Source organism: Homo sapiens, chromosome 10 (assembly GCF_000001405.40).
Source record: "Homo sapiens chromosome 10, GRCh38.p14 Primary Assembly".
NCBI lineage: Eukaryota > Metazoa > Chordata > Mammalia > Primates > Hominidae > Homo > Homo sapiens.
Window position 1 is genome coordinate 43,604,646 of NC_000010.11, and position 23,394 is coordinate 43,628,039.

At 40.7% G+C, this 23,394-nt stretch overlaps 1 protein-coding gene and 1 pseudogene across 6 annotated transcripts, besides 2 other annotated features; one reads left to right on the forward strand and one right to left on the reverse strand.

The window, feature by feature from the left end:
- On the reverse strand, positions 1 to 1,652 carry CAP1P2 (CAP1 pseudogene 2; annotated as a pseudogene).
- Positions 1,499 to 1,548: an enhancer, noted in NCBI's record as "active region_3304". NCBI's record gives its function as "activates an Ori minimal core promoter by ATAC-STARR-seq in GM12878 lymphoblastoid cells {active_cell/tissue: GM12878}" and the evidence as "EXISTENCE:reporter gene assay evidence [ECO:0000049][PMID:35858748]".
- Positions 1,793 to 13,259, forward strand: ZNF485 (zinc finger protein 485). 6 transcript variants are annotated; one of them, NM_001318140.2, is made up of 5 exons: positions 1,793 to 1,918; positions 2,352 to 2,429; positions 3,969 to 4,095; positions 4,610 to 4,705; positions 11,646 to 13,259. In NM_001318140.2, exons 2-5 carry the CDS (start codon positions 2,406 to 2,408, stop codon positions 12,722 to 12,724), a joined length of 1,326 nt encoding a protein of 441 aa, NP_001305069.1. In that variant the 5' UTR covers positions 1,793 to 1,918; positions 2,352 to 2,405; the 3' UTR covers positions 12,725 to 13,259. The 6 variants fall into 6 exon arrangements, with proteins under 6 accessions (NP_001305069.1, NP_660355.2, NP_001305070.1 ...); NM_145312.4 differs by having other exon boundaries at positions 1,793 to 1,901; NM_001318141.2 differs by having other exon boundaries at positions 1,793 to 1,896.
- Positions 1,829 to 2,108: a silencer, noted in NCBI's record as "silent region_2335". NCBI's record gives its function as "represses an Ori minimal core promoter by ATAC-STARR-seq in GM12878 lymphoblastoid cells {active_cell/tissue: GM12878}" and the evidence as "EXISTENCE:reporter gene assay evidence [ECO:0000049][PMID:35858748]".
- Positions 13,260 to 23,394: the final 10,135 nt, after the last annotated feature.

A 23,394-nucleotide genomic window follows, 5' to 3' on the forward strand; every position in this document is an offset into this window, starting at 1 on the left:
TTCCTGCAGAAGATCAACTGACCTGCTATCCCACTGCACATCTGAGGTATATTTCAGTGAAGGCAGGTAGCTGTGCTTTTCAGAGCAGAGAAGCAGTTTTAAGAGCAGAAAGGTAGAGGAAATCTAGAAAAGAACCGTCTTGATACAGATTTATCCCATGGTGTGAAGGGAGGGCAAAGAACCCAGTGGCACTTCGCTTATCCAGCAATTTCTGTCACTGTGGCGACAAACTTCTGCCCATTCCAGAGGGTCTTGAACTGCTCAGGAACTGGGAATTCATTAAAGTCACCGCCTTCTGTAGGAATGAGGACATTCATCTCAGAAGATTTGGCACTGGCTATTTCACAATCCAGGGAATTCTTGCTCAGGTAAGCATGGCAGCCATCTGTTTTGTTGATGGAAATGGTTGGCACTTTACTCATCACCTGAACTTTGACATCCCTACTGTTGATTATCTCCACAATGCCCACCATATCATCGAATACCAGACCAAGTTTCTTACAATTATCTACTGTAATGGAGTTAATTTTGCCCTTGATTTGCAACATCGTGTTGACACACTTGTATATGTAAGCCGCCTGTTTCAGCTCTGTGTCATCAATCACCAGATTGGAAACATTTTCCTGATTTTCCACTCTCCACTTCTTGCCCTCCAGTTCAAGTACAGCTGGCTCCTTCTTTGTGGCTGGTTTGGGGTTTAGGTGCAGAGAATGGCTTGGGGCCACTGCGTACTGGACCACTCTGAGCCTTCAGGGTAGGGTTCTTGTGAGTCTTCATGTCATCAGATACACGTTTCAGGGCATGTGTGATGCTCTCCCCCTGATTAATCTGCGCAAACAGTGCTGAGAGGGAAGCGGACTCATCTGAGCCTGAACTGACAGAGACTAGTGGAGGAGGGGGGCCTGGTGGTGGGGGAGGAGTAGCTGATCCAGCAGAGGGTCCAGATGGCAGTCCACTCAGTTCTTTTGTCACAGGCCCCGTTTTGCTCCAGGCAGTCCGGTGGTATGGAACTCCTTAATGTAAGCCTGCAGCTCTGTGCATATACTTAAATAAGCTTTGACTCAGTCTACATGCTTCTTATCCACATCTTTGTACTCTTTAAGGACTCAGTTTGTATAAAACACAGCAGCATGATTCATTTCTTTCACATAAGGGCCAGGATTGGGAGCCATAGCCACCCAGCCTAGGGCCTGGATACTTTCACTGACAGCTGACAGCTGATTAAACAACTTGCTGCCTCGGTTCTTCTCCCAAAAGGTTATCACTTCTTTGATCTGCTCTGAGATAGGTGCCAACAGATCGGAAAGCTTATTACCTGCCGGCTATTGACACTGAGAAGCTGTAACCAAGAGAGCTCACTCCAACTTCAAAACTGTGTGTACCATCTCCACATCTTTCTGCACGTCTTCCCCAATCTCTTTACTGATCTTCAAGTACTCTGCCACAGGGCAGGCAAGCAGCGAGTCAAATGCCTGCGCATATGGAGCTGCTCCTGCTTTTGAAGGACTATCTCCATATCCACGGTGCATGTCAGAGGTATGGGATACTGCCTCCAGGCGGCCCACTGCCCTGTCCAATTTTTTACCAGATTTTGCATGTCAGTCATAATGTATCACCTCCCGACTGCGATCAGCCGCTCTCCACTTCCCGCACCTTCACTTTTCAAAGATTCCCAGGTGATGCCAACCTGCTCTGCGGATGGAGCCCCTAAGACCCCAAGCGGCCCAGACTACGTTTCCCAGAGGCCTCCGCGGCCTCAGCCACTTCCGCTTCCGGTCCAGCCTGTCTCCGCGTGGTGCGAGCGCTGCACCAGCCCCTGGCTGGTGGTTACTGTCCGAACGGCGTGGTGTGGTCGCTGACTCTCTGGGCGTGCAGCTCCGCAGCCCTGCCGGCTCGGTTCGGTTCGTGAGCGGCCGGGGTCAGGCTGGGTCCCTGAAGCCTCGAGCCCCTGGCGGGTGCTCCCCGCCTTTCCCAGGGGCGGGTCGAGGGGCGAGCCGGGGTGGGAGGGGAAGGCGGCGGTGGGCAGTGCCCACCCGCAGTGGCTGCGCCGTGTGGAGCGACCGCTCGAGGCTGGTGCATCACAGAGCGCTCCAGCCTTGCGCCCCGGCCGACAGATTGGGCCACTGACAAGGCCGTCCCCCGGTGCTGCCAAAAGTGTTTGGCGTGGAGCTGGCTGCAGTCCAGGCCGGATCCCAGCAGCCGTTCCCTTTCCTTTCTTCCCGAGCGTACCCACCTGGACCTGTCTGCCCACCTGTGGAGGGAACGGGCGGGCGGGGACCTGGTCTAGAGGGCAGATTCTAGCTAGGCTAGGGCACGGAGGGACTTCCTCAATTTCCTCTCTTCTTTCCCAGATTGACTTACGCAGGATTCTCAGCCCTTGCCTGGGAGAACAGTTCAGGAGACAGATGGCCCCAAGAGCCCAGATCCAGGCAAGTTTGATTTTTCCATTTCTTGAGAAACCACGTGTTTCAGCGAGGTGGGGTTTATGCCTCTTGCCCGGACAATGCCCTGCCCTGTGTGTGGACAAAGCTACCCGAACCAATCCTGGATGGGTCCCGCGATTTCCGTCCTGTCTACCCATTACGTAGTCATTCACCAAGTAGATTATTGCTACCCATGTTTTCTAGAGTGCTAGAAACAGAAAAGTGCTTTGCAAACTGGCAGACGATGAAAAAAATACACGTTAGCATGTAAAGACGTAGGCCATAAAGACATAGGGTGATAGCAGTGCTCTCTTGACCTTTAGTGTGTGGTAGGGTGGGAGGGGTGGAGTAGTGGGCGCCTTAGTTCTTCCTGAAGAATAAATGAGATTTGCATAATTGCAGAGGATACTAGGGGAAAGCGCTGCCTGAATGAAGTCATTATGGCGGGACCATGAACAAACTGGTCTGAGAAAGTTGGAAACATTCATGGTCTAGAATCCCAGACTGGAGTTTGCTTTTATCCTGGAGAAAACTAGGTTTTGAAGGATTTTGAGAAGCTGATTAAATAATTGGTATTTTGAAAGGAAGTGATAAACATTTGAGTGTCTATTATACAAATAAAATTAAAAAAATTAAAGATCACCTACATTTCTACTGCTCTAAGTCAAGTAATTTCATTTGAAACACACTTTTCATTTTTTTAAGGCTTACTCATTTTTTCTTTTAGTATTTCATAGCCATTCCAATTTGTTCTAGTTTCATTACCACTTTTTGTGGCTTCCTTTTATACTGTGCCTTCAACCAGCCCTGGGACCTTGAGCAAGTTCTTCCAACTCTCTGAACCTTTGTGTCTTTAGCTACGAAATAGATTTTACTTTATATAGTTACGGCAGAAATTTAGAGAGATGATATGTATCTCAGGGTTTAGCACCGTGGCTGGTACATAGTAAGTTGTTACTCTTATGAAAAGCAATTTTTTTTTCTTTTTTAAAAATATTCTGCCCCAGAGTCAGATCATACTCCCTGTAAATTCTCGGATAAAGCTAATCACTTTCCATGTCTTTTCAAAGTTTCTATTCATTTGTTGATTGAATAAAGCTTGAACACTTCTGTGTCAGGCAGTGTTTTTGACTGGGAGGCAGCAGTGACCCACACTGTCCCCCTGGAGCTCACATTAGAGAGGATGCTGACAGTCAGTGCAAACCTCTCCTGCCAGGTGGTGAGAAATCCTGTGAAGAAAAGTGAAATGGGTTTCGAGACTGAGTGGCAGAGGATGGGGTGGAGAAATAGAAGACCTTTTTGATGAGGTGACATGAAGGGTGGAGTGAGCAGAGGCTAGGCCTGGAGGAGGGAGCAGGACAGGCATGCAGGAAGAACCTGCTCAAGGGAGGAGTCGCACATCCCCTGAGCCCTCAGCTTTTACTTGTTGGTTTCCATGAGCACTGTTGGAACTGTCAGAAGCTGGCTTTGACCACCTTGCTTCCTTCTCTTGGGATGCCTCCCTCAGGGGTTCCCGGATGAGCAGAATTGGGTTTGGTTTTGCAGGGACCGCTGACATTTGGGGATGTGGCTGTGGCCTTTACCCGGATTGAGTGGAGACACCTGGATGCTGCTCAGCGGGCCCTGTACAGGGATGTGATGCTGGAGAACTATGGGAATCTGGTGTCTGTGGGTGAGGATGGCTTTCTCCTTGACTCAGGATTGGTCTGCTGGGCAACTTTGTGTTTTCACAGGGTGAATGGTTTGGGGTATTGAAAAAATCTTAAATGATGTGCTTTTTGTTTTGTTTTTCTTAAGTATGGGCTTAGAGGCTGGAGTTTATGCCCCTTACACCCCTCAAGAAAGGTCAGAGCCATACAGAGTTAAGATGGGTAGCTTTGTGGTGCCAACTAGCCCAGTTCTGGAATGTTTCTGTGTCATGATTCATCTGCCTCCCAAAATAGGAGTTTCTCGTCCTCCAGGAGGACCTGGTTTTCTAGTTGACTTTGCCCCCTCCCTTTGCTTTACTTCATGAGTTGGACATCCTGGGTGCCACCCTCTAGGCCTCTCTGACCTGTCCATGCTCATTGCAGATGCTCAAGTTGACACTGAGGTCTGGAGTGACTGCTTGTGCTTGTAACCGCCATCACATTCCTTTTCATTCATTTTTTTTTTCTTCCTCTAAGATCCTTTTTCTTTATGAACAGGGCTTCTCTCTTCCAAACCAAAACTAATTACTCAGTTGGAGCAAGGGGCAGAGCCCTGGACTGAGGTGCGAGAGGCTCCATCAGGCACACATGCAGGTGAGTGGGTGGGGAACATCCCAGCAGAAGCTGAGCACACGGAGCAGTACGGGGGTTCCTGAGTGGAAGCTCATCTTTGAGTGCCCTGTTGGTGCAGAAAGGCACTGGTTTCCTCTTTTGATGTCATCCTCCTGTCAAGTGGCTGGCCGCTTTTCTCCCCAGTCTTTCTGCACTTGGGAGGGCTGCTGCCTTCCTGAGGGCCTCAGGCCCATCTGTGCCATCTCCCAGCCTTCTGAAATCCTCAAGCTCTTTATGTGATTTTTCTCTCTCTCTTTCCAGGCATTCACCAGGTATCTTTTGTTTCTTTCTACTTCTGTTCCATTTTCTTTCTTTCTTTTTTTTATATTTTTTGAGACAGTCTCGCCCTGTCGCCCAGGCTGGAGTGTAATTGTAGCTCACTGCAACCTCAAAGTCTGGACTCAAGCCGTCCTCCTGCCTCAGGCCCCTGAGTAGGAGTAGCTGGGACTACAGGCGTCCACCACAATGCTTGGCTAATTTTTAAATTTTTATTTTATGTAGAGATGGAGTGTCGCTATATTAGTCACGGCTGGTCTCGAACTCCTGGCCTCAAGTGGTCCTTCCACCTTGGCCTCTCAAAGTGCTGGGATTACAGGTGTGAGCCACCACGTCTGGCCCATGTTCATTTTCCATTCCTTACCCACTCTCTCATGGAAGCTTGCTAACTCACTATATACCACTTCCTGGTGGTAGTTGCAGATTCCAAACATAAGCATGGTTTTTTAGCTCTCAGGTAATTGCGATTTTTGGCAAACACATTGTTGGGGAAGCATTTTCTTTCCTTTTCTTAGGGATCTTCTTTTATTTGTCTTTTCTACTGTCCTTTGCTCTTGGCTCTCATTTTTTTCTGTGTATACTTTGTATATGTTTTTGTATGTCACTTTCTCTGTGCCATAGTTCATTTCTGAATCTCTAAGCCTGAATATTTCTCTCACCTAAAATATTTATCCTGCCAGTATTTTTTCTTCTAAAACTCTAATTGTCATTTTGCCTCTATCCTCTTCAGGAGAATGTTTATAACTGTATTTCATGTAAAATACCAGTAATACATAGTCTTGCTTAACCTAGGTCTTTGCTGGTTGTGGGTGGGATGCTTTTGAAGTAATTCCTTTTATTCTTACTGTGTTTAACATTTCCCCCCTAAATTCTTGTGTAGATTCTTTATATAGTAACAAAAGTCACTCAGTCTTCTTTATTCTTTGTTCTTTCTGTTTTAATTTTGGTTGTTATTTGAAATAGAATGTTTAAAACTTGGATGTAATGAAAACAAGCAATGTTTCCCCTAATATTTCTTTCATCTGCTTAGAGGACTAGTAAATCTTTCTACAAAGACTTCACAACCAGTCAGTATTTTATGTTTTTTTTTGTGTGTGTATATTTCCCTTTCTGTTAGTTGTTAGACATGCTTATGGTACCACATTCAGATGGTTCAAATGGTATGCAGTCTCCTTCACATACCTTTCTCATCACTCAGTTCCCCTCCCCAGAGGCATCCCTGTGTCAGTTTCTTGTGGAGATTTGTAGGTGTGATGTATACTTTGTGAGAGTATCCATGAATTCTTTAAGCACATGGTAGCACACTCTTTTGCCTGTTACTTTGGCATTTATGTCTTAGAAGTCATTTGACATAACTATATTGTTTAGAGCTTCTCTCTCTCTCTCCTCTCTCTCTTTCTTTCTTTCTTTTGGAGACAGAGTCTCACTGTTTCCTAGGCTGAAGTACAGTGGTGTGATCATGGCTCACTGCAACCTTGACCTCCTGGCTCAAGTGATCCTCCTGCCTCAGCCTCCTGAGTAGCTGGGACCACAGGAGCATGCTACCACACCTGGCTAAATTTTTTTATTTTTAATTTTATTTATTTATTTTTAAATTTTTTTTTGTAGAGATGAGATCTCGCTATTTTGCCCAGGCTGGTCTGGAACTCGTGGCCTCAAGCAATCCTCTTGCCTCAGTTTCCTAAAGTACTGGGATTACAGGCGTGCATCACCATGCCAGCTTATCTTTCTTTTTGATGCCTGCATAGTGTTCCACTTTATGGATGTCCTATAATTTATGTAATCAGTTATCTTTAGTGGACATAATGACTCTGAACAATGTTGCAGTGATTATCCTCATACACATCAATTCTCTTGTGTACAAGTAAATCTATAGAATAAATTCCTATAAGAATTGTTAAAGGTTAAAATTTTTAAATCCACCAAATTTGGTGGGTATTTCCGCTATTCATAAAGATAATACATGTTTATACTCCTAATGACAACATATGAGTGCCACTTTTATAGCTTGTCAGCAGTGTCTTATATGCTTTGATCCTTGCAAATCTGAGAGGTGAAAATATTTTATTATAATTTTAATTTGCCTTTCTCTTATCAGGAGTGTGATTTAGCATGTTTCAACATTTTGAGCAACCCTTGTATTTATCTTTCCTGAGAACTGCCTGTTCAGTCCTTTGCCCGTTTTACTGTGAGATTGTTGGTCTTTTTATTGTCAGTGTGAAGGGTTCTTTATACATTCAGGAAATTAATTGTATATCATATATATCACAGATTTTTTTTAAAAGTTTGTTTTATATCAGCTTTATATTAACAAAGGTAATGATGGATATGCTTGTCTTTGCATCTTTGCATTGTGTCTGGCCTTCTCATTTGAGCTGGCTGTTGAGTTGGGATACACATACATTGTTATTTAAAGGAAGTATTTCATTCACATGTTTTGTTAAGAAATTTTAGTTTTTTAAATCAAGCATGATTGCTGAATTTTATTAAATGCCTTTTCAAGGTATATGGAAATATCTGTCTTTTCCATTTTGATCTGTTTCTGTGGTAGATTTTATTCTCATTTATCTTGGCCATGACACATTATATCATTCTCTGAATATGACAGTGGATGATTCTGTCTGCCAATCTTTTATTTAAATTTTTGCACTGATACTTAAATGTATTTACGTTTTCTTTTTCATCTGCCCATTTTCATTGGGCTTTGATTTTAATTTTGTAATACTTTCATAAAACATTTTTTTGGTCTTTCATATTTTTATCCTTTAGTCTAGTTTAACTCACATGATAGCTGTTCCCTAAAGGTTTGGGTCCTTTGTCCCGTTTTTGCTTATTTATTGTGATGTGGAGCAGAGGGGAGGAATTGGGGGTACTTTTTTTGACAGTGTTGTCAATACTGACTTGTCCAAATAGATTTTCTCTCTCTAGGAAACAGTTTTAGTAATTTATAATTTCCTAAAAAGCATCCAGTAATTCAAGGTCATAAGTTACTTGTGTTGAACAAAGTAGCTTTTTATAACTCTTAGTAATATTCTCCACATCTTTGGTTACTTTTCCCTGATTTCTTACTTTGTCTTTTTTCCATTTCCTATATTTTCCTATTTCCCCTTTATTAGCTCTGTTTTATTTTTTTGAACAAAAGCATTTGGATGTATTTATTAGTGTTACTGTTTTCTGTGTTTTGAATCTTAAGTTCCTTTTCCCTTTTGCTTTCCTTGGGTTTATTTACTTTCTCCTAAACATTTTAGTTATTCATTCATTGATTTTTCTTCTTTCTTACTGATGTAATATAAATATTTAAAGCCTTAAACTTTGTCTATGTAATGTTTTAGTTATATTCAGTAGGTTACAGTATGTAGAGCTTTCATTATCATTTTTTAGATATTTTACAATTTGTGTTTTGATTTCTGTGATTGAAGTACTAAGAGATTGATAAGCTAGACTCTCCTTTTCTTAAAGCCTTTAAAAAAATTAACACATATATAGAAAAGCTGATAAAATATGTATACAGCCTAAATTAGTATTTTAAAACTCTGTACCCATGTAACCAAAACTTAGGTTAAAAAATAGAACTTTGGCAATACCCGAGTAAATCACATTATAATTCCTCCCAATTATTGTCCATTCTCCTCCCCTTGAACTAACACTATAGTTTATTTTTGCCTGTTTTTAACTTCATGTGAATGGTATCATATAGTACATATAATTTTTGGTCTGGCTTATGCATAACATGTTTTCAAATTCATTTTTAGTTATTTCTTTGCTGTGGATCAATGCTTCTGAAAACTGTAGCGTGCCTCAGAATGCATGCTGCAGTACAGTTGCGGGGCCCCCTGCAGAGTTCTTTATTCAGCAGGTTCTCAGGCATGCTGATGCTGGTGCTGTGGGGCTGGAGCCCATGCTTGGAAAATCACTGTTCTAGAGTGACTCATTGTGTGACTCTACTGCAGTTTCTCTCTTACATTCAGATGCATATATGGCATTTTCCAGCTTTTGGCTATTGCAAGTGCTGTAAACATTCTTATACTTTATTTTTTGGTTCCTACGTGGCTACATTTCTGTTGGGCATGTATTCAGCTTTAGTATATAATGTCAGATAATCTTCCAGAGTTTTGTTCCCAGTTATACTCCTTCATCAGTGTGTGAGAGCACTCCTTGTTCCATGTCCTGGCTAGCACTTCCTGTGGTCAATCTTGTGAAGTTAGTCATTCTGGTGGATGTTCTGTGTGCCTCATTGTGGTTTTCATATCCATGTCTCTATATCTAATGAGGTTAAAGACATTTTAGGGCTGGGCATGGTGGCTCACGCCTGTAATCCCAGCACTTTGGGAGGCTGAGGTGGGCGGATCACCTGAGGTCAGGAGTTCGAGACCAGCCTGGCCAACATGGTGAAGCCCTGTCTCTACTAAAAATACAAAAAATTAGCTGGGTGTGGTGGCACACACCTGTAGTCCCAGCTACTCGGGGAGCTAAGACAGGAGAATCACTCGAACCTGGGAGGTGGAGGTTGCAGTGAGCTGAGATTGCGCCATTGCACTCAGCCTGGGCGACAGAGTGAGACTCCGTATCAAAAAAAAAAAAAAGACCTTTTAGAATATTTATTGGTCCCTATAGAGCATCTCTGATTGGGTAACTATTTGAAGAGCCTGTTATTGATTACATGTATTGTACCATCCCTCTCTCTGTTGTTACTGACTGTTAATGGTCTTGATGAATAGCAGTTCTTCCTTTTTCTGGGCTCAAGCAATCCTGTCTCAGCTTCCTGAGTAGCTGGGACTACAGACACATGCCACCATGCTCAGCTAATTCAAAACATGTTTTTTTTCTGTAGAGATGGAGACTTGCTATGTTGCCCAGGTGGTGGGTCTGGACCTCCTGGCCTCAAGCCATCCTCCTGCCTCAGCCTCCCAAAGTGCTGGGATTACAGGCATGAGCCACCGTGCCCAGCCCAGTTCTTCCATTTGATCAATCCCTTTCTTTTTTGTCAGTGCTTTTTTGTGTCATGCTTTATTTAAAATGTTTATTTTAAATTATATATTAACAATTATTTACTAACATTTATTATTTTTGTGATTTTAATATTTTTTCTTTTCCCGAGATCATGAAGATATTCTTCTGTGTTAATTTCTAGAAGCTTTATTATTTGGTTTTTATGTTTACATTTACCATCCTCTTAGAATGGATTTCTGTGCATCATATGAGTTAGGGTTTATATATTTTTTTTCTCCTAAAATGTACTAATGCAGAATCTCCTCTTCCTCACTGCTTTGCAAGACCACCTTTGTCATAGAAGAAGTGCCCATATGTGTCTTCACGTTGCCAGCTTTACAATCAGTATCTTGAAATTTTCTCTAGTTTGATCATAATACATTAAACACATATCCCATCAAAGGCCATTGGAAGAATGTGGGCTGTTTCTGACTGGGCTTCACCTTCAACTTACATTTCCTTGAAAAAATAAGTCTTAGCTCTAATATCCATTGCATGGAATTTCTCCCCAGACTACTAAGTATAAATACATATAAATATATGTATGTGTATATATCTTTAGGTATAGATAGATACAACTTATGTTTATAAGAAAAGCGCATTTAGTAAAATAATTGGTTGGTGATTGTTAATTTTACTACAAGTTTGGCTCTATTAGTTTTTCAGAACGTTTTTGTCTGAATCATTTCGCTCTGTCTGTCTTAGGTCTTGTGTCTGTACTTTGTAAAAAGCTAGAGAAAATTCACATAGTACACCCATTGATTGGTAATTTTTTTTTTGTTTTTTGAGACAGAGTCTTGCTCTGTCACCTAGGCTGGAGTGCAGTGGCATGATCTCAGCTCACTGCAACTTCTGCCTCCCGGGTTCAAGCGATTCTCCTGCCTCAGCCTCCCGAGTAGCTGGGATTAAAGGCATGTGCTACCATGCCTGGCTAGTTTTTGCATTTTTAGTAGAGACAGGGTTTTGCCATGTTGGCCAGGCTGGGCTCGAACTCCTGACCTCAAGTAATCCACCCGTCTCGGCCTCCCAAAGTGCTGGGATTACAGGCATGAGCCACCGTGCCTGGCATAGGTATGTTGTTTTTTAGATATGTTAAAAATTTAGTTTATAGTAAAATCTTATTGGCCTGAGAACTATTTTTGTTCCTTGAATATTTTTTCTGTTTTCTTTTTTCCACTGAGCAATTAAATATTGGTTCACTCTTAAATCCTCACAGAGAACTATTTTTCTCAAGTTCTTGGTGACATCATAATGTTCTCAAATATACCACCTGCAGAAATCTGCCCTAGTAGTAATTATAGCTTGCTTTGTGACTCTGGGCTTTCTCCTCAATTTTGTATTTATTCTCACATTGTCTTTTTTCTTTTTTAGCTGTTTCCTGTGTTGTCTTCCTAACTTGGCAACTTCTTAGGGGCTCACTGCATTCTTTAAATGCAATGTTTATAGTACAGATTCTTTTCTTTTCTTTAAAATCATACTTCCTTTTCCTGCCCTTAGTCTGGCCATCTTTTCTCAGCAAGAATCACAAGTGGGACACATTAATAATTTTTCATAACCTTTAGTTATGTAGAATAGAACATTATTCAAGTCCTTGCACAACTCTCACTTTCAGCATTTCAACATAAAGAACATTTGAATTTTTAAAATTTTCTTTCAGTCGAGGATTACTGGTTTGAAACAAAGATGTCAGCCCTAAAGCAAAGCACTTCTGAAGCATCTGTTCTGGGAGAGCGAACGAAAAGTGTCATGATGGAAAAAGGCCTGGACTGGGAGGGCAGAAGCTCCACAGAGAAGAACTATAAGTGCAAGGAATGTGGGAAAGTCTTCAAATACAATTCGTCCTTTATTAGCCACCAGAGAAATCACACCAGTGAGAAACCACATAAATGTAAAGAATGTGGGATCGCCTTTATGAACAGTTCATCCCTTTTAAATCACCATAAGGTTCATGCAGGCAAACAGCCTTATAGATGTATTGAATGTGGGAAGTTCCTGAAGAAGCACTCAACGTTTATCAACCATCAGAGAATTCATTCTAGGGAGAAACCCCACAAATGCATTGAATGTGGAAAAACTTTCAGAAAGAACTCAATCCTTTTAAGTCATCAGAGAATTCATACTGGCCAGAAACCCTACAAATGTAATGACTGTGGGAAAGCCTTCGCTCAGAATGCAGCTCTTACTCGTCATGAAAGAATACATAGTGGAGAGAAGCCTTTTAAATGTAACAAGTGTGGGAGAGCTTTCAGGGATAATTCAACTGTGTTGGAACATCAGAAAATCCATACTGGTGAGAAGCCATATCAGTGTAATGAATGTGGAAAAGCCTTTAGGAAGAGCTCAACTCTTATTAGTCACCAAAGAATGCATACTGGGGAGAAACCCTATCACTGCAGTAAATGTGGAAAATCTTTCAGGTATAGCTCATCCTTTGCTGGTCATCAGAAAACTCACAGTGGAAATAAACCGTATCAGTGTCGTGACTGTGGGAAGGCCTTTACAAAGAGCTCAACCCTTACTGGACATCAGAGAATTCATACTGGAGAAAAACCCTATCACTGTAAGAAATGTGGGAAAGCCTTTCGGCACAGCTCAGGCCTTGTTGAACATCAGAGACTCCATACTGGGGAAAAACCTTATAAATGTAATGAATGTGGGAAAGCTTTTCCCCGAAGTTCAGCCCTTAAGCAACATAAGAAAATTCATAATAAAGAAAGAGCCATGAAATGTAGTTAGTGTGGCAAATTGTGCAGAGTAGTTTATTCCTTCTGACCATCATAGAGGAGACATTAAATAAATTATGCATTTAACAGAAATACTCTGTACTTCTGAGAGAACACATCACTTGTGAGGATATTCATTGTGAGGTTCTACTAGTGAAATATTTGAAGAAACTAAATGTATGTCAGTATGGAAGTAGTTATAGCATACTGTGTGCTAATTGAAAAGAATGAGGTGGAGCTGTAAATACTGTACAAAGCCAGGCATGGTGGCATATGCCTGTAGTCCCAGTTACTTGGGAGGCTGAGACAGGATTGCTTAAGCCCAGGAGTTTGAGTCTGTAATGCACTATGATTGTGCATGTGAATAGCCACTGCACTCCAGCCTGGGCAACATAGCAAGACTCCATCTCTAAGTAAAAAAATACAACAGTAGAAATATACCCATGATAATATACCCAATATACCCTTGTTAAAGAAGCAAGTTTCAGGAAATCTATATTATATGCATTCAAAAAGACCTGGACAAATAAAGACCAATCTTAACAGCAGTTATCTCTCTCTCTCTCTCTTTTTTTTTTTTTTTAAAAGAAACTAGCTCTTACTCTGTCACCCAGGCTGGAGTGCCATGTGATCATAGCTCACTGTAGTTTTGAACTTGGGCTTGAACAACCTTCCCACTTCAGTCTCTGGAGTAGCTGGGGCTACAGGCACGTACCACCACACTCAGCTAACAGCAGTTATCTTTGATGAGGATGTAGTATAGGTTGAGCATCCATAACTGGAAAATCTGAAATCTGAAGTGCTCCAAAATCCAAAATTTGTCTGAGCACCAACAGGTACAAAATTCTACACCAGACCTTATGTGATGGGTTGCAGTTAAAATGCACCCCCGGCCGGGCGCGGTGGCTCACGCCTGTAATCCCAGCACTTTGGGAGGCCGAGGCGGGTGGATCATGAGGTCAGGAGATCGAGACCATCCTGGCTAACAAGGTGAAACCCCGTCTCTACTAAAAATACAAAAAATTAGCCGGGCGCGGTGGCGGGCGCCTGTAGTCCCAGCTACTCAGGAGGCTGAGGCAGGAGAATGGCGTGAACCTGGGAAGCGGAGCTTGCAGTGAGCCGAGATTGCACCACTGCAGTCCGCAGTCCGGCCTGGGCGACAGAGCGAGACTCCGTCTCAAAAAAAAAAAAAAAAAAAAAAATGCACCCCCAAGATTCCTTATTATTTGCATGCAAATATTGCAAAGTCCAAAAAAGTCTGAAATCCTAAATACTTCTGGTCTCACGCATTTCAGACAAGGGATACTCGACCTATATTGGTATGATGAAGTGAAATTATGACTTTGACTGAGTTCTTTGAAATGAAATATTTAATCAAGCATCATTCATGTATCTTCTGTAACTTAGTATAGTTATCTTCCTATATAAGAAAACTCAGAAGTCATAAAAATAAGACAAATGCCACACAGAAACTAAAAGCTTTTAGTTTCTGCAACTAGAGGCTTCGTAGTATTAAAATACAAAGGGCTGGACTTGGAGAAAATATTACCATCATCATATTTAACAGGTAACACTTAGACTATTTAGAGAGTCCTTAAAATACATAAATATAAAAATTCCAGTGGAGAAATGGTCTTGGATGTGAATGTACAGTTGTCAGAAAAAGAAATATAAATGATTATGCCTACCAACTTTGACCTTTTGACCTAACATTTCTACTTAAAATCTAATTAAAAAGTAAAGGTGGTCTTTACAGCATTGTAGTAATGAAGAGGTGGAATCACTGTAATATCTGTCATCAGAGGAATGTTGAAGATACATGCAGTCTTTGGACTACCATGTAGTCACTCAACATTTAATTAAAAGACAGTCCTTTAATTAATTAACATTTGGTGAGTTAGACTTTTATGAGCTGACAGGCAAAGTTGTCTATGACATTAAGTTGAAAAAGATCCAAAGTAAAGAATAATGGTATAGTACTTCTTTTGTATAGTCAATGCATTGCCTGAATATTTTGTGATAAAAATATATCATGGATATAGTTCACAATGTAAAAGCAATAAAGCAAACTTAGGAATGTTATAAAATAGAAAAGAAAGGATCTAAGTATTCAACTGATGATTGCAGAGGGCCAGATTTAATCAAAAGAAGCACGGCTGCACACACATAGATGATTGTTGGTAAGAACTGGTTAAGCTGCTTTGGATAACAGTTTGGCAACATGAATGTAAATGTAAATGTATGTTCTAATTGACCCAGAAATGCCACCCTCAAACATTTAAGGAAATAATTTGACTAACTTACAGAGCTTGTATTGCTCATCGTCATTGGTTATACTAATATCCTGGAAAGAGGTGGGAGAAATATCTAAGTAGGGAAATGTTTAAATAAGTTATGAAACTCTCATAGGCTAGCATCCCAGTTACTACAGATGTATAATAAACCGTCACACACTTAGTTGCCAGTATTTGTGTTCACAGATTTTGTGAGTCAAGGATTCAGAAAGGGCACAGCAGGAACAGCTTTGTAACTCCATGATGTCTGGGGTTTCAGTTGGGAAAACTCAAGGTTGGAATCAACAGTTGGTCAGTGGGGTCATTTGAAGCGGCCACACTATGATAGCCACAAGTGGCTACTGAGCAGTTGAAGTGAGGCCAGTCTGAATGGAGACTAGTGTGTTGATTGAAAATAGGACTGTAAGTATAAAATGTGCATCAGATTTCGAAGACTTTGTATAAAAAAAGAAACTAAACTATCTTAATGGTTTTTATATTGATTATATTTTAGATAGATTAAACTCAATGTATTAAAATTGAATTTTAATGTGACTACTAGAAAATTTAAATTTACATATGTGGCCTACATGTATGGTTCGCATGTTGCTATCAGACAACACAACTGAAGGCTCCATCACAAATTGGGTGGTTGATGCTGTTGGCTGGGACCTCAGCTAGGGCAGTTGCATATGAACACCTACATGTGACCTTTTTATGTGGCTGCATAGGCCTCCTCAGCTTGGTGCCTGGGTTCTGAGGAGTCAGGCAGAGAAACTGTTATTGCTTGTTGTGATCTAGCATCAGAAATAACAGCATCTCGGCTGGGCGTGGTGGCTCATACCTGTAATCCCAGCACTTTTAGAGGCTGAGGTGGGTGGATTGCTTGGGGCCAGGAGTTCAAGACCAGTCTTGGCAACTTGGTGAAGCCCTGTCTCTACAAAAAAATACAAAAAAATTAGCCAGGTCTGTGGCACGTGCCTGTAGTGCTGGGGAGGCTGAGGTGGGATGACTGCTTGAGCCTGGGAGGCAGAGGTTACAGTGAACCAAGATTGCACCACTGCACTCCAGTCTGGGCAACTGGAGTGAGACCTTGTCTCAAACAAACAAACAATAACGACAACAAAAAATTCAGTGTCTCTTTCTCCATAGTCAAGCCTGTCCAAACTCAAAGGGGAGGGAACATAGAACATACTTCTTTGGAGGAGTATCAGAGTCACATTGCCAGAAAAGTATATTCGATGGAATATATTATTGCAATAATTTTGGAAAATATGATCTATCATGGAATATGATACAACCATTAAAAAGGATAAAGTGGATATGTTGGATGAAGAAATAGGTTACAGGACAGTATCTGAAAGCTTATGGCAGCAACTTTGAAGTATAATCTTTGGAGTCAGGGTGCAAGATGCAGCTTACCTCTTAATATACTTTGTGAAACCACTGGCTAGTTATGTAGCCTGTTGAATTGTCTACCATGTACAGATAAAAAAAAAACTAGTTTTGTTTAAAGGAGGTAATTTTATAAAGTGCTTAGCTGAATACCAGATGCAAAGTGCAAGGTAAATGTTAGCTGGTGCTGTGTTAGTGATACTCATTTCTGTTTTTTTTTAAAAATGTATAGTATGTATATATGTACATGCACACATATATATGTACACATGTATATACATATATTTCACCTATATATTTTTTTAAAATATAAAATTAAAATTTCTGCATAAAAATATAAAATAAAAAAATTTCTCTCATATATATATATGAGAGGTCTCTTACAGAATTGATTAAAGATCTCAAAAGAACATGCTCCACCATCATCTATATCGTGTGCACAAGGCTCAAGAGGGACCAGTGGTTTTACCCACTGTCAAACACCATGAACAAAGCCTGGGTACTGGCTTGTCTTATTGAGGAAACCTACTTTAACATATGAAAACGAATAAAATATTTCAAAATGGTAATGATAATTATGGGATTTTTGGTAATGTATTTCATTTAAGAAGTTTTCATTTAAAAGAATAGGGTGTTTATTCAAAATGGGACAAGACAGGACAATAAAAGAAAGCTGACCAATATTCCTTATGAGCATAGAAGCAAAAATCTTGAATAGAATATTAGCGAATAAAATCCAGCAATATATAGAATTAATAATATAGAATCATGATCAAATGGGGTTACGGCTGGTTCAGTGTTTGGAAATCAATCAATGTAATCTACATTAAAGAAGATTAAAGACCAAAGAGGAAAAACCACCTGATCATACCAACTGATGCAGAAAAAGCATTTGACAATATACAATATCCATTCATGATACAAGCTCTTGGCAAGCTAGTAGAAGGGAAGTTCCTCAACCACATAGAGGCCAACTATGAAAAACCTACAGTTAACCTCATACTTAATGGTGAAAGACTGAATATTTTCCCTATAAGATGAAAACAAGGTTAGGATATCTGCTGTCACTACTCTTATTTAACATAGGACTGGCAATCCTGGCCAGTGCAATAAATCAAAAAAAGGAAATAAAAATCATACAGATTGTAAAGGAAAGACTGTAACTGTCTCTGTTTACAAAGGACATGATTGAATATGTAGAACATACAAAGGAAGCTATAAAAAGCAAATCCCTGGCCAGGCGTGGTGGCTCAATGCCTGTAATCCCAGCACTTTGGGAGCCCGAGGCAGGTGGATCACATAAGGCTGGGAGTTCAGACCAGCCTGGGCAACATGGTGAAACCCCATCTGGATAAAATTACAAAAATTAGCCAGGCATTAAAGTGCATGCCTGTAGTCCCAGCTATTTGGGAGGCTGAGGCAGGAGAATTGCTTGAACCCAGAAGGTGGAGGTTGCAGTGGGCTGAGATTGCACCACTGCACTCCAGCTTGGGTGACAGAGCAAGACTGTTTCAAAAAGAAAACAACAACAACAACAACAACAACAAAATCTAATAACTAATAAGTGAGTTTAGCAAGATTATAGGACCCAAGGCCACATACAAAAATTGTTTCTACACACTAGCAATGTACAATTGAAAGCTGAGATTAAAAACTGTCATTTGCAATAGTTCATAAAATAATGAAATCCTTAGGTATAAATCAAAACATGCATAGTACCTGTACACTGAGAACTATAAAATGCTGATGAAAGTAATAAAAGACCTAAATAAATGGAGAGACATGTCATATTCATGAATGGGAAGATTCACCATAGTCAAGATGTCAGTTCTCCATAAATTGATCTTTAGATTTAACAAAATATCAGTCAAAATTCTGGAAGGATTGTTTTGTAGATGTAGATAAGTGGATTCTAAAGTGTTATCCAAGGCAAAGGAACTGGAATAGCTAAAACAAGTTTTCACAAAACTAGAAAAAGCTTTGACTCACTTTACACAATTTAAGACTCTAAAGATACAGTAATCAAGACTGTGGTATTGGTGGAGGTATAGAAATACACATCAGTGGAACAAAATAGTCAAGAATGGACCCACAGAAATATGACTAGTTAAAAAATTTTAAACGTGGGTGCAAAAACAATTCAATAGAGAAAGCATAGTCTTTTCAACAGATGGTATTGGAGCATTTAGACATGTATTAAAAATGATCTTTGACCAATACTTCACACTTTACACATAGATTAACTCAGAAAGGATTATAGAGCTGAAAGTAGAGCACAAACCTGTAAAAATTTTAGAAGCAAACACAGGAGAAAATCTTCATGATCTGGGTTAGGTACAGAATTCTTAGACATAACACAAAAACCATAATCCATGCAGAAAAATATTGATAAACTGCAGTTCACAGTTCTGGAAGGTGGGAAGTCCAGTATTAAGTTTCTGGCATCTAGTGAGGAACTTCTCGCTATGTCATCCCATGGTGGAAGGTAAGAGAGTGAGAGAGAGAAAGTGAAAGTGAAAGTAAAAGGGGTTGAATTCCCTCCTTTTGTAACAAACCCACTGCCGTGCCAACAGCATTAATCCATTCACTGTACCCACATGGCCTTATCATCTCTCATTAGGCCCCACCTCCCCAAACTTGCATTGGGAATAAGTTTCCAACACATGATTTTGGGGGAACAAATTCAAACCATAGCAACAATAAAATATTTGAGATAAATTTAACGAAATAAATGTGAGACTTGTACACTGAAAACTACAACCATTCCAGAAAGAAATTTTTAAAAATCTAAATAAATGCAGGGACACTCTGCATTAATGGAGTTGAAGCTCAAAATTTTAAGATTGCAGAACTCTTCAAATTGATCTATAGGTTCAATGCAGCACCTATCACATTTGCAGCAGAGTTGTTCTGAACAATTGACAAACTGATTCTGCAATTTATACTAAAAGAAGAATTGAGAATGGTCAAAACAATCTTGAAAAAGAACAAAGAACAAAATTCATCCCAGTTTCAGAGCGTACTATACAACTACTAAGGGGGAAAAAACAAACTTTTCCATCTGCCCTCACACCACGACAGCAATCAACACAGAAGACTTCTGTGACCAAATGTGTGGGGATTTTTCCTGACAGATAGTGTCAGACCCCACAGGTTGAGGGCTCAAGCCTATAAGACTGCCTACAACCTCTCAGATGCTAGGTGCATCTGGAGGCATTCTGGAGGTAAGCCCTGGCCACCAAAACTTCTGACCCACCAGCTTCAAGTTGGGGCCCCCACAATCACCTCTTTGGGTTCCATTTACATAACTGCTGTCACCACACAATTAATTTGCTAGAACAGCTCACAGAACTCAGGGAAACACCTACTTAAATTTACTGGTTTATTCTTAAGGATATTACAAAGGAAAGTGATGAGGAGGTGCCTAGGGTGAGGCATGTGGGAAGGGGTATGGAGCTTTCATGCCCTCCTGGAGTGTGCCACCCTCCAGAACCTCCATAGGTTTTGCTATCTAGAAGCTCTCTGAACCCTGTCCTTGAGGTTATTATGGAGGCTTCATTACATAGCCATGATTGTTTAAACCACTGGCCATTGGTGATCAACATAACCTTCAGTCCCTCAACCCTCTCCAGAGGAGGTAGGCCTGAAAGTCCCAACCCTGTAATCCTCCCTTGGTCTTTATGGTGACAGCCCCATCCTGAAGCTACCTGGGGGGCTGTCAATGCATTAACATACAATAAGACATCACTTTGGTGTTTCTAAGGGTTTTAGGAGTTGTATGCTAGGAAATGATTTATATATTATGTATTTCACAATGTTACAGCTACTACATTTATCAAGACACTGTGGTCATAGCATAAAAGTAGACATATAGACCCATCAAACAGAATAGAGATTCTAGAAATAAACCCTTATGTTTTTGGTCAGTGGATTTTTTTTTTTCAGACAGGGTCTCTCACTCTATTGCCCAGGCTGGAATGCAGTGGTAAGATCATGGCTCACTGCAGCCTCGACCTCCCAGGCTCAAACGATCCTCCCACCTCAGCCTCCTGAGTAGGTGGAACTACAGATGTGCAACACAACACTGGCTAATTTTAAAATATTTTTATAGAAATGGGGTCTCCCTATGTTGATCAGGCTAGTCTTGAACTCCTGGGCTCAAGCAATCCTCTTGCGTCAACCTCTCAAAGTGCTGGGATTACAGGTGTGAGCCACCGGGCCCACCATCATTGGATTTTTTTTTTAATGGGCTCAAGTGATCTCTGTAGTCCCAGCTACTTGGGAGGCTGAGACGGGAGGATCACCTGAGCCCATTACCAATGGATTTTTGACAGATGTGCCAAGGCAATTCAATGTGGAGAAAGGATAGGTTTTTCAACAAATGGTGCTGGAATAATTGGATATCCTCATGTAAAAAAATATACGTTTAGTCATTTTACATCATACATAAAAATCAAGAAAGATAATTGACCTAAATATAAGAGGTATAACTATAAATTTGGTTTGGGATGTAAAAGCGAAGGGAAAACTTCCCCATTGCCCTCTGAAAGTTTGCTGAAAATCACTGACAAAAGGCAGATTAATAGAAAAGGCATGCACATTTATTTGATCATAGTTTTACTTGAAATAGGCATGCGCCTGTAATTCCAGTTCCTTGGGAGGCTGAGGCAGGAGAATTGCTTGAACCTGGGAGGTGGAGGTTGCAGTGAGCCGAGATGGCGCCATTGTACTCCAGCCTGGGCAACAGAGCAAGATTCCATCTAAAATAAATAAATAAATAAATAAATAAAAAGAGGCCGGGCGTGGTGGCTCATGCCTGTAATCCCAGCACTTTGGGAGGCTGGGGCAGGCAGATCACGAGGTCAGGAGTTCGAGACCAGCCTGGCCAACATGGTGAAACCCCATCTCTACTAAAAATACAAAAATTAGCTGGGTGTGGTAGTCCCAGCTACTCGGGAGGCTGAGGCAGGAGAATCACTTGAACCCAGGAGGTGGAGGTTGCAGTGAGCTGAGATCGCACCATAGCACTCCAGCCTGGTGACAGAGCGAGACTCTGTCTCAAAAAAAAAAAAAAAAAAAAAAGAAAGTTCAATAAGCACATGAAAACATCGTTAGATATTAGAGAAATGTAAATTAAAACACAATGAGATGCCACTGATGCTTTATGCCCCAGGGAGTGTTGTCTGTAATAAAAATCCACTAACAAGTGTTGAGGGATGGTATAATTTGGATATTTGTTCCTTCCAATTATCATGTTGAAATGTGGTCTCCAGTGTTGGAGGTGGGGCCTGGTGGGAGGTATTTGGGTCATAGGAGTGGATCCCTCATGAATGGCTTGGTGCACTCCCTGTGGTAATGAGTTACCTTGAGATCTAATTGTTTAAAAGAGCCTGGGACCTCCCCCACTGCCACCCCACTCTCTTTCTCACCATGTGATGTGCTGGCTCCCCCTCACCTTCTGCCATGATTGTAAGCTTCTTAAGGCCTCACCAGAAGCTGAGCAGATGCTGGTACCATGCTTGTACAGCCTGCGGAATTGTGAGCCAAATAAACCTCCTTTCTTTACAGATTACCCAGACTTGTGTATTACTTTTTAGCAGGGGTGTCCAATCATTTGGCTTCCCTGGGCCACATTGGAAGAATTGTCTTGGGCCCCACATAAAATACACTAACGCTAATGATAGCTGATGAGCTAAAAAAAAATTGCAAAATTCTTATAATGTTTTAAGAAAGTTTATGCATTTGTGTTGGGCTGCAGGTTGGACAAGCTTGCTTTATAGCAACACAGGATGGACAAATACAGGGGAGAATGTGAAGAAACTGGAGCCTTCATACATTGTTGGTGGAAATGTAAAATGCCATTTTGACAACAGTTTTCCAGTTTCTTAAAATGCTAAATACAGTTTTACCATATGACCCAGTGATTCTACTCTGAGGTATACCCAAGAAAATTAAAATATATGTCCACATAAAAACTTATATGTAAATATTCATAGCATCATTTTTCTTTCTTTCTTTCTTTTTTTTTTGAGATGGAGTCTTGCTGTGTCACTCAGGCTGGAGTGCAGTGGCGCGATCTCGGCTCACTGTAACCTCTGCCCCCAGGTTCAAGCGATTCTCCTGCCTCAGCCTCCGGAGTAGCTGGGATTACAAACATGCACTATCATGCCTGGCTAATTTTTGTATTTTTATTTGAGACAGAGTTTCATCATTTTGGCCAGACTGGTCTTGAACTCCTGACCTCAGGTGATCGACCTGCCTCGGCCTCCCAAAGTGCTAGGATTACAGGCGTGACCCACCGCATCCAGCCGTCATTTTTCAAAATAGCCAAAAACTGGAAACAACCAAAATGTCCATCAACTTATGATTGGATAAACAATATCTGCTATATTCACACAATGAAATATTACTCAACAATAAAAGGAATAAAGTACTGATACATGTTACTATATGGATGGACCTCAAAAACATTATACTAAATGAAATAAGCCATATATTGTATAATTCCTTTTATATGAAATGTCCAGAAAAGGCAAGTCTATAGAAACAGATATTAGATTTATGGTCCCGTGGAGCAGAGGGTAGCAATGAGGGATGATTGCAAATGGAAATGAAGTTTGTTAATGGTGTAGTGCAAATGTTCTAATGATAGATTGCAATGTTAGTTGTTCAGCTTTGCACATTTTCTAAAAATAATTGAATTGTACACCTAAAATAAGTGAGTGTTATTGTATGTGAATTATGCCTTGATAAAACTGTTTTTAAAAATAATAGCAAGATATGGGAGTTGAGGGTGTTTGCAAGCAGGTGATTGATTCAAAGAGGGACCATATAATGTAAGCTGGTAAGGAAGGTTGAAGAGTAGTGGGAGAGTAGCAGGATCCATGAATTATTGATGCAGCTGACAATTTATTGGCTTTAGTTCACTAGAGGAAGTGAGATGCAAAGACAGGAGTTGATAATCAGAAAATGAGATGATTAAAATTGAGACCATTGTTGGATTAATAATGCAGAA

Coding starts and splice junctions, on each gene's coding strand:
- ZNF485 (NM_001318140.2), top strand. CDS start 2,406: ATGGCCCCAAGAGCCCAGATCCAG. Junction 2,430..3,968: donor CCCCAAGAGCCCAGATCCAG/GCAAGTTTGATT, acceptor TTGGTTTTGCAG/GGACCGCTGACATTTGGGGA. Junction 4,096..4,609: donor TGGGAATCTGGTGTCTGTGG/GTGAGGATGGCT, acceptor CTTTATGAACAG/GGCTTCTCTCTTCCAAACCA.